We start from the raw sequence: 10,547 nt of genomic DNA, 5'->3' as shown, positions 1-10,547 counted from the left end.
GTATTTTTAGTAGAGATGGGGTTTCACCATTTTGGCCAGGCTGGTCTCGAACTCCTGACCTCAAGGGATCTGCCCACCTTGGCCTCCCAAAGTGCTGGGATTACAGGCGTGAGCCACCATGCCTGGCCTAGAATCGGTATTTCTTTACCAAGTAAGTAAAGTGACATTTACAGCTACTGCCATGAGATGGTTAGATTTTGTTTCGTTTGTGTGTTCTGCAGTGCTTTTGTTGTTCATTTATTCCAAAATGATAAAACAGAGAATAGAAACCCTAAAGAGAATGAATAAAGAGAGAATAAGGGAAGGAGGGAAAGAGGAAGAGAGAAAGAGATTTTCAGGAGAGGAAAATGTGAAAGCTAATGTGCAAGAAAAAGCACAATAGAAAAATCACAGATGTTTCCAGAAACATTACTTTTTATTCAAAAGAAAATATAGTTACTTTTAAAATTTTTTTTTGAGACAGGGTCTCACTCTTTCATCCAGGTTGGAGTGCAGTGGTGTGATCATGACTCACTTGATCTCCCAGGCTCAGGTGATCCTTCCTCTCATCTAAGTAGCTGGGACTGCAGGTATGCATGACCACACCTGGCTAATTTTTTGTATTTTTAGTAGAGATGGAGTCTCACTGTGTTGCTCAGGCTGGTCTTCAACTCCTGGGCAAAAGTGATCCTCCACCTTGGCCTCCCAAAGGGCTGGGATTACAGGTGTAAGTTGCTGAGTCCAGCCTACAGTTACATTTTTAACATACAAATAAGCTGCAGTTCAACTTTGATAGATATAGGGGAGGTTTGTTCTAAGAAGTGGTAAAGCTGGTCACAATTTAATAAAAGTGACTTCAGTTAATAGCAATTTGAACAGTAGCTTAGTGTCTTTTGAGAACAGTCTAGTTGATTCCCCTGTGTAAGCAACTCTGTGGGGATGAGGGCTCTTTTAAAAATGTTTAAGCCACAAGATATATGAGAAGGTTTTAAAAATCTGGCGCTAATTATAAAAATGCTACTGACAAAGTCTCTGAGATCCAGTAATAGAGTCATAATGACCTCTTTTTAATATACATAAAGAATTAGGGATTAAAAGCCACTTTGTGAGGAAAGCTGTATCTACATTGGCCATTAATAAGTTTGTTAGAGCAATTTCTAGCATAATTGCTATGCTAAAGAATTTGTGGCCAGTTCTAATAGCATTGTTAGTGAATAAAATGTACTGTTATCATAAACTGGAGATATGATTCAAGCATGGGAATTAATTGTAATTACAACACTTCGTTTAAATGTTAAGTTAAAACCAGCCCTTCAACTTTAGTCCAAACTTAGTTTGTTAATTAATTAATGAATTTTAAGGGGGGATTTTCTGACTTGGCTAATTAATTGAATAGTTATATGATTGAAAGTTACAGTTTTCATATCTGAGAATAGACTTGCTTCAGTGCTAAGGAGGTATAGCAGTGTTTTTACTAGGCATATCATTAGTCATAACTTTTGTAGATATTCCATTGAATAAAAGTATCTGTGAACATTGTTCCCCAGCCATCACTGCTGTTTGCCTCTCTCTCTGCTTTCTCATTCTCATTCTTTGCCACAAATGATGGCGGGCAGGTTGTTTGAATTATTAGAGTTATTTTCTTAAGAGAAAAGGGGTGGTATGTGTGTTCGTGTATGTTGGAGGGTGTGTTGGATAGACATATGAGACAGGCAGTCTTAGCCTAAAGGAAAAGTGGGTATAAAGTTGCTATTTTTGGTTCTGGTTTCTTCTTTCTGCATCTTGCCCTATTCCCACCATTACCTGTCCAGCTCCCATTCAAGAAGAGCTTCAGCATTATCAATTTTCATATACCTGTTGTTATACGAGCCAATCTTAAAGACCTCTTGGAGTCTGTGTGCATAGTGGAGATGGCAATATTTTCACATCTTTCCTGAGGTGTGAAGCACCAGCAGTGGTGAATAAGCACTACCAGGTCCTTTTGGAAATTTTTGTTGAGAAAGCCATAAAAGAGAGGGTTTATACATGTGGAAACCATAGCAACCAAGTGGCAAACTACAAATACCAGGTCGTGGTGGCAGCTCATCAGCACCTCATGATACCAGTCAAAGATGACATTGAAGATATTCGGGGCAGCCAGCAGGCTCCAAAGGTCACCACGATGGAAATCAACATTGTGTTGATCCTCTTGTTCTCATTGAGCCGGCCCTCATTTTCCTTCTTCTTATCTACCTTTGCATTTCTCCTGCGGAGGCAGATAACAATCTTCAAGTAGCAGATGAGGATGAAGCCTAGAGGAACAAAATACTGCAGCAGAAAAAGGGAGGTGGTGAAGAGCAGCCGGTCCTTTTTGGAGGGCCAGTTCTCCACACAGGCCACCTGGTGGGTGTAGAGGTCAGTGGGGAGAGAGAGGTTGCGGAAGGGCTCATCAGTGAGGTGGTAGGACAGGAAGAAGGGAATAGACAGCAGAAGGGAAAACAGCCAAATCAGTGTGATGCCCCAGTAGGCATGAGTCACACTGGGCTTCCAGCCACGGGGGTTCACAATTAGCTGATATCTTTCGACAGCAGTGAATACAAGTGAGAATATGGACACAGAGATTGAGACACTCTGCACATAGGATGTGAGTCTGCACATGGTATCCCCAAATATCCAGTGGTCCATCAGAGTGTAGATGATAGTAAAATGGATGCACATGACACACACCAAGGTATCAGAGAGGGAGAGATTGGCAATCAGTATGCTGGTGAAATTCTGAGCTTTTCTCTGCTTCTTAAAGATGATGATGATGAGAGAGAGGTTTCCAAAAAGGCCCACAATTAAGACCACAGTATAGGCTATGCATAATAGGAGTAAAGCTGGAGAAGGGGGTTGACAGGACTCAAAGTAAAAAAATGCCGAGTTGTTGTTCTTTGTGCTGGTTGTATTAGATGCTGGGTGGTTTAGGGAAACTTCCATTGTGTCAGGATTGTAAGAAGAGATTTTCTAAGCTTATTTGTGTTGTGGGTGGATATTTTGGCCATTAGTTCTTGGAAGGCACCTTGTTGTGAGGCATCCGACGAGAAATTAGTAGGGTTTAATCTTCCCTGATCTGTGTCTGTATTTGATGGAAACATGTGAATGACTTGAGCGTGCTCTTGAGACCCTAAAAAATGAAACAGAACCCAGAATATCAATGCAAGTTCTTAATATGGATAATTCTCTAGTGGTAGCAAAGCCCCTGAGAGGACATAGAACAAATATCCAGGGGATCTCTGTGTACCTTTACCCTCCTCTCAGCTCATCTCAGGTGCTTTCTTTGTCCCGCTAGTATAGTCTTCAGAGCTAGTGAGGCAAGGAATGTAACAGCATCTTGTTAACTATAGAAGCAGCCAAATGTGTTTCTATCCCTATCAACTTCTGCTTTTTTTTTTTTTTTGAGATGGAGTCTCGCTCTGTCACCCAGGCTAGAGTGCAGTGGTGTGATCTCTGCTCACTGCAACTTCCACCTCCCAGGTTCAAGCGGTTCTCCTGCCTTAGCCTCCCGAGGCAGGAGACAGGGACTGCAGGAGACTGGGACTACAGGTGTGTGCCACTATGCCCAGCTAATTTTTTGTATTTTTTGTATCTGTAGTAGAGACGGGGTTTCACCATGTTAGCCAGGATGGTCTCGATCTCCTGACCTCGTGATCTGCCCACCTCGGCCTCCCAAAGTGCTGGGATTACAGGCGTGAGCCACCATGCCCGGCCAACTTCTGTATTTTTTTAGGGTCACCTGAGTATGCACACACTTGCTTCAATGGACTATAAAAAGTCAGGAGGATAGGGATTGTGCTTTGGAGGCCTGAGTACTGTGTTTGAAGTTGGGTTCTGTTATGGTTTGTTTGAATGTTTGTGTTCCCTCCAAAATTCATGTTGAAACTTAATCCCCAATGCAACAGTATTAAGAGGTAGGGCTTTTAGGAGGTGACTAGGCCATGAGGGCTCTGCCCTCATGAATGGATTAGGGCCTCATAAAAGGGCTTTGTAAGGGCAAACTCATTCCTTTTATAAGGAGACCCTAAGTGAGTTTGCCTCTTCTGTCCCTTCTGCTGTGCGAGTATACAGCAACAAGGTGCCATTCTGGAAGAGAAGAGCCCTTACCAGACACTGAACCTTTTGGTGCCTTGATCTTGGACTTCCTAGCCTCCAAAACTGTGAGAAATAAATTTCTATTGTTTATAACCTTGTGATATTTTGTCTGTGTTATTTTGTTAAAGCATCACACATGGACTAAGACAGGTTCCAGTTGGAGCATCACTTCTTGGTATTTGTCTGACTTTGTTGTAGGTCAGTTACCCTTCCTCCTCTGTTTTCTTATCTGTAAAATGGGGATAAATAATCTCTATCTATCTGAGTAGTTGTGAAGATTAAGTGAGAACACACATCTAAATTTGTCCCTCAGCCCCAACATAGAGCACATAGTAGGTACTCAGTATATGTATGTTGAATAAAATTTGTCAGCTCTACTGCCCAGAGCCAGTCTACAGCCTTTAGTTTGGGGGCCAGAATTACAGAACATATCTGCTATGGAATAGCATGTGCCTTCTCCTCTTTTCACTTCTTCCACTCTCTGGGATTGAAGCCATAGGCAGTTTCGGGGTACATTGCGGATTTTGGAGATTAAGGCAAGGAAGGCAGCCAGCGTCTAGTGAGCTATTACCCAGAATTAACTTCATTTAAAAAGCATTCCTCCAATTCTTCCTTCCTCCAGATGCTTTCTTCTTCTAACTTCTAGAGGAAAGGCAGGCTCTGGTTCTATGGCTCAGCATAGTTTAGGGTGGTTATATTCAGTAGAATTATTCATACCGGGATGTACAACAGGCTTGAAGGATTCCCTGCCATTCAAAGTGCTGGGATTTCTGGCCCAAAGAGAAAACATTGAAAGACAGCAAAGGCGGAGGTGGGGGGGTACTCCTCATCTTGGTTTATTCTTTAGTAGTTTGAAGAAAACAACATAAATAACATTGATAAAGGGAACTGAGCAATAGGAATGAAAGGGAATGCAATTTTGTTTGCTGTTTGAAATTATGATGGCCTCTTCTCACGTTCTTTCTGAGATCTAAGGCTTAGCAGTTTCTTACTGGAAAGAAATCACCTTAAGAATAGTTAGGTCTGTCATGGTTTCAACAATGGATAACACAATGAGGAACAGCATAAAAATACCACAGATGAACTGGGCGTGGTGGTGTACACCTGTAGTCCTAGCTACTCGGGAGGCCGAGGAGGGAGGATCCAAGGAACTGATCTGTGGCTTAGACGTGTTAAAAGAAAAACTTAAGCTGAATTAAATTTGAAGGAGTTTAATTGAGCAATGAACGATTTGTGAATCAGGCAGCCTCCAGAATTACAGCAGATTCAGAGAGACTCCAGGGATGCCTCGTGGTCAGAACAAATTTATAGATCAAAAAAAGGGAAGTGATGTCCAGAAATTGGAGGTGAGGTACAGAAACAGCTAGATTGATTACAGGTTGACGTTTACCTTCTTTGAACATAGTTTGAATGCTTAGCAGTCTATGAGTGGTTGAAGTATGGCCGCTGGGATTGGCTAAGACTCAGCTATTGTTACAGGTGCATACTCCTAGGTTAGGTTTTCAATCTTGTCTGCCTATTAAGCTAGGTTACAGTTCATCCACAGGGACTCAAATGTAGAAGTACAGAGTCCTTCTCAGGCTATATTTAGTTTGCTTTAACACGTGCTATGTGGTAATAAGAGAAATAGCAAAATTTATAAATAATGGTATTCAAAAGGAAAGTTTAAGGCCTGGATGACTCATGAGACCCAGAGTTCACAGATATTGGCTGAAGGAGAATTTCAAGTAAAATTTAAGCTCTCTATACAGTTGATAGATTAGAACTATACATGAGAGACAGAAAGCTTTGATTGCTAATTAGAGGCCTCCTACCAAGCAAGCCTCACTTAAAGGAGGATAGGAATGAAAGGAAATAGGCATTAACTGCATATGTAGTTGAGTAAACTAGAATGAGCACTAGATTTTGTGTCAGGAGACATGTCCTGTTGTTTACTAGCTGTTTGATCTGGGGCAAGGCACTCTCCTCTTGGCCTCAATTTCTTTATCTGTCAAATGAAATAAAAAATAGCCTCCCTACTTCATACCTTGTTATAAAGGCCAATGAAATAATATATTTAAAACATTTTAAGAGGATTGAAAAACGACCTATCGGGTAGTATCCTTGTTACCTGGGTGATGAAATAATCCATACACCAAACCCCCATGACATGCAATTTACTTTTTTTTTCTTTTTTCTGAGACGGCGTCTTGCTCTGTCGCCAGGCTGGAGTGCAGTGGTGCAATCTTGGCTCACTGCAACCTCTGCCTCCTGGGTTCAAGTGATTCCCCTGCCTCAGCCTCCTGCGTAGCTGGGACTACAGGCACACACCACCACACCTGGCTGATTTTTTTTTGTATTTTAGTAGAGACAGGGGTTTCACCATGTTGGCCAGGATGGTCTCGATCTCCTGACCTCGTGATCTGCCCACCTTGGACTCCCAAAGTGCTGGGAGTATAGCCGTGAGCCACCGTGCCCAACCAACATGCAAGTTACCTATATAACAAACCTGCACATGTGCCCCTGAACTTAAAAGTTTTTTAAAAATTAAAAAAAATTGTATAAACTGTTAAACACTGTTCAAACCCAAGTGCTCATTATTGTTGTTGTTATTCTTGTTGCATGTCTCAGACACTTGGACTGAACTGATCTAATCCTCATCCTCCAAAGAGCTATGAGTGCTTTCATATCTGCTATGCTATTTATTTTTCCATCACCAGTTGTGTTAGGGAGGAGTGGGATTGTTATAGTTCCATTTCATAGAGGAAAAAACCAAAGTACAGAAAAGTCCAAGGAGTTAGCTAAAACCAAACAAAACCAGAAAAGTCTTGTGTGTTTTTTCTTCCAAGCTCTTATTATTTACAAGAAAGAAAAGCTTCCTATGAATCCTGCAGGTTTTCTCTTTACAGATGTGAAAACTCATATAATTTTGCAGGGTTCCTAGCAGATAAAGATGAGAATAAACATCGAGAGCTCTTGTGTTGCCTATTCTTGTCAATCTGGGCTGACTTCATAGTGAATGGGGATTACTCAAAATCCTGCAACAGCAGGCTTGAAACTGGGTGGCAATTCTTCTGCTCTCCTGTATTCTGATTAGTAGCAAAGTACAAATTAGCTCCCCAGTCTATAAATTCCTATCTCAGCTTGGAGCTCAGAAAAGCCTATAGATCTGAAGGGCCTCATCTTAGGAGGGAATCAAAGGAGAGTGCTGGAGTTACATTATCTAGTACCCTCTACACAATACAGAGAAGATTAAATAGGAAAATGGCCAAATTTGGGCTTTAAATGGCAATGTGGGATTTACACTTTATGTAACTGGTAACTATTAAGTTAAAATATTTAAATCCTGCCTATCTGGAAGCAAAATAATACTAAGCCCTGTTCATAAAAAAATTCTTGGGATTCATTTCTATTTTAGGAGAGTTCATCTTTGGCTTGTTTGGTTGGAATTGACCCATGGAAGTGAGATCTCAAATTATCAAGTGACATTTTACTAAAAAATATCAGTAGCATATGGCAGCAGTTAATCCTAAACCTTCAACTTGATTGTATCTAGCTCATGAGGCACCTGCCTTGAACTGATTCAGTTTATGCCTTTTAACATAAAAGTACAACAGTATGTTAAATTTTTTGGGTAGTTTTGTGTTTAAAAGTTTCAAGATGAACAAAATAAGAGCATAATTCCACCAAAGTTTTTATGTACATGTTTATTTCTGCATCTGAATGTCATTTTGTTAGTGTGTATCTTTCTTCTGTCTCTTTATTCATAAAATTCTTTTTTTGAGGGGGAGAGAGCTGGGGGTAGAGTTTGTGTGTGTCTGCCTTTTGGTCTGTCTGTTTTTTTCCTTACCATTTACTCTCTTCCTCTCTTTCTGTCCATCTGTCTTATTCTTTACTCTTGTTTTACCCCTTTCCCTTAATTGTCCATGGCATAGAAAAATTATATTTTACATTATTTGTTCTATTTCATTTGGGGCTATGGTGCTTTGATCTGAAAGAGACTATAAAGGTCCTCTAATATATTCCTTTCATTTGACAGATATTGCAGCATTGCAGTTAAATATTAGCAGAACAGGGACCAGAGCCCAAGTCTTCTGGCTTCCAGAGAGTTCCGTGTTCTTTCCACAATTTTCTATTGCCTCCTGTTTTATATTTCTTATATCAAGTTCTGTATTTCCTGTCGTTAATTTTAAAAGCAAAGAAGTAGAATATTTTCTATTCGTTCTATATGAACAAAATTCTGTTATGTAACTTCAGAGAGTTGTGGCTTCAGAGAGTTTGTACATCTCCCAACCCCCAAGTATATATGTGAGGAGCCCAAAATGGGGTAGGACCACACTGTGAGCATCTCCCATAGAATTCTCTCTCCTTTTTCTTAAATCTCTAAGAGTACAGATTCTATGGTTGTGCTGATGCAGATAACGTCTCATAGTCTTCAGGGCTTAATGATTTTTAAAGTACTGCATTGTTCATTAATTAATTCATCAATAATTCATGTGCTGACAAGGCTTGCTATCTTACTTGATCTCTACAGCAGCCCTGTACTCTAGATAGGAATGATACTTTATTTCTGATTTACAAACATGGAAACTAAGATCCAGTGACTGACTCATGGTTGTGTAGTTAGCTGCAGAGCCAGGAACAGACGTCTACTTCCTAAATCGTATACAAGGCAATATTTCTAGTTTATTTGGTCATTTCATTTTTTAAAAGATCAGTCAAATAAATCATTTGTGTTCCATGAAAACAAATAGACTAGAATCTCTGTAAAGGTACATCTTAGAGCTTACCCTAAGAACAAAGTACTACATTAAGTAACTGCACTAAGCATCAAGAAACAAATGCCTAATCTCTTACAGCGTTATTAAAAAAGTATAATTGGCCTGGTTATTCAACATCATGCAAACCTCCTTAAGTTATTCAACTGTTCACCCATTCCAAAAATCAAATTTCATATCTATCTGTTGCAGAAGTGTGTGCTGTCTTTTAAGACTTGAGGATTACATTTGACCCAACCATTCTTTTATTACATGTACTTTGATTTTTCTCTGCTGAAAATGGTTTATATGTTTTCTTTCCTTGAATTTGACCATTGCCTGAATCCATATAAAGTGGTAGTGGAAAATATATATGCTTCTCAAAGCTACTGTTTTAAAAACAAGCCAACACAGCTTGTCTGAATTGACTTTTATTTTCTTTGAAGGTTAATAACCGAACTTATCATTTTAGGAATGTGGGGGTTTTCAGTTCTTTAAAATAATAAAACATTGAGTGCATTAAGAAAGGAGATCTCAACTCTGCCAATGAAAATAAGTATACCAGATTTTTAAGATTATTTACTAAAAGATAAAGTAATTAAAACCCCATTGTGCCAATACTAGCTTTTGGTGGTTTCTTTTTATAATTTTCTTACAGTAGTGCATTCTGAAACTGTAGGGTTGTTTTTCAAATCATATATGTAAAAAGGCATCTAGTACAATTTAGCCTAAAAGCACTATATTTCCAATTTTTAATGATCTTCATTTACTTTTTAAAACTGGATTATTCTAACATGAAATACACATTGGATAAACACATTTGCAATATTTTTCTTAAGCATTTTAGAGGTTTGTTTCCCATTTTCTTACCTGTCGGAAATGTCTAGCTCTTTTGCTATTCTCATCTTCTGTTGTTTTCTTTCTTCATTTCCATTATTATAATTTTTTAAAGTTTATCTGTCAAGGATGACATGTTAGCCTTCTCTCAAAAAGTCATAACATCCCCCGTTCCTTCTTGGATTATTTATCCACCAGACAATCTGTAGCTTCACTTCAGACACTGATCCCTGGAGTTGGAATCATTGCACAGAGGATTGAGCTTTGGAATCCAGTGGGCACTGAAGGTCACTGAAGAGCCGGAAGGGAGGAGTCAGAAATCTCAGCAGCAGTGACATGAGGTGGAGCTGTTTAAAAGATATTTTCAAAATGTCACTTTCAGTCATCTTGTAGAGATGATAATAAGAGTGCCTCTTGAAAATCTGTGGCATTTTCTGGCATATATATATGTATATATATATATATATATTTTTTTTTTAAATTAGCACGGCCAAAATCAGACATTTAACTTAAATATTCCTGGAAAATTATTAGTAAACATTAATGGTTGTTCTTAGAGCATTTACTGTTAGTTAAGAGATGGACACATAGAGGGCAGCAGCACACACTGGGGCCTTTCAGAGGGTAGTGGGTAGGAGGAGGGACAGGATCAGGAAAAATAACTAATGGGTACTAGGCTTAATATCTGGGTGATGAAATAATCTGTACAAAAAACGCCCATGACACCAGTTTACCTATGTAACAAACCTGCACTTGCACCCCTGAACTTAAAAGTTTAAAAAAAGAGATGGTGCTATTCCAGATTTTGCAGTAATTTATAAGATTAATGAAGATACTTTTGAAATTGAAATTAATGCCAAGTTTCTGAGCAAGTATGTATTATAA

The 10,547-nt window shown here is 39.3% G+C and overlaps 1 pseudogene across 1 annotated transcript; it reads right to left on the bottom strand.

Moving 5' to 3' along the window:
- Positions 1–396: 396 nt before the first annotated feature.
- Positions 397–9,955, bottom strand: NPY6R (neuropeptide Y receptor Y6 (pseudogene); annotated as a pseudogene). Its single transcript, NR_002713.3, has 2 exons — positions 9,696–9,955; positions 397–3,124 (listed from the first exon to the last, which is right to left on the bottom strand). The product of NR_002713.3 is annotated as a neuropeptide Y receptor Y6 (pseudogene) (transcript).
- Between the last annotated feature and the right edge of the window lie 592 nt (positions 9,956–10,547).

The sequence above is a fragment of the Homo sapiens genome, chromosome 5 (genome assembly GCF_000001405.40).
Source record: "Homo sapiens chromosome 5, GRCh38.p14 Primary Assembly".
Taxonomy (NCBI): domain Eukaryota; kingdom Metazoa; phylum Chordata; class Mammalia; order Primates; family Hominidae; genus Homo; species Homo sapiens.
Note: the sequence above shows the minus strand (reverse complement) of the source record. Positions and strands in the feature narration are given on the sequence as shown.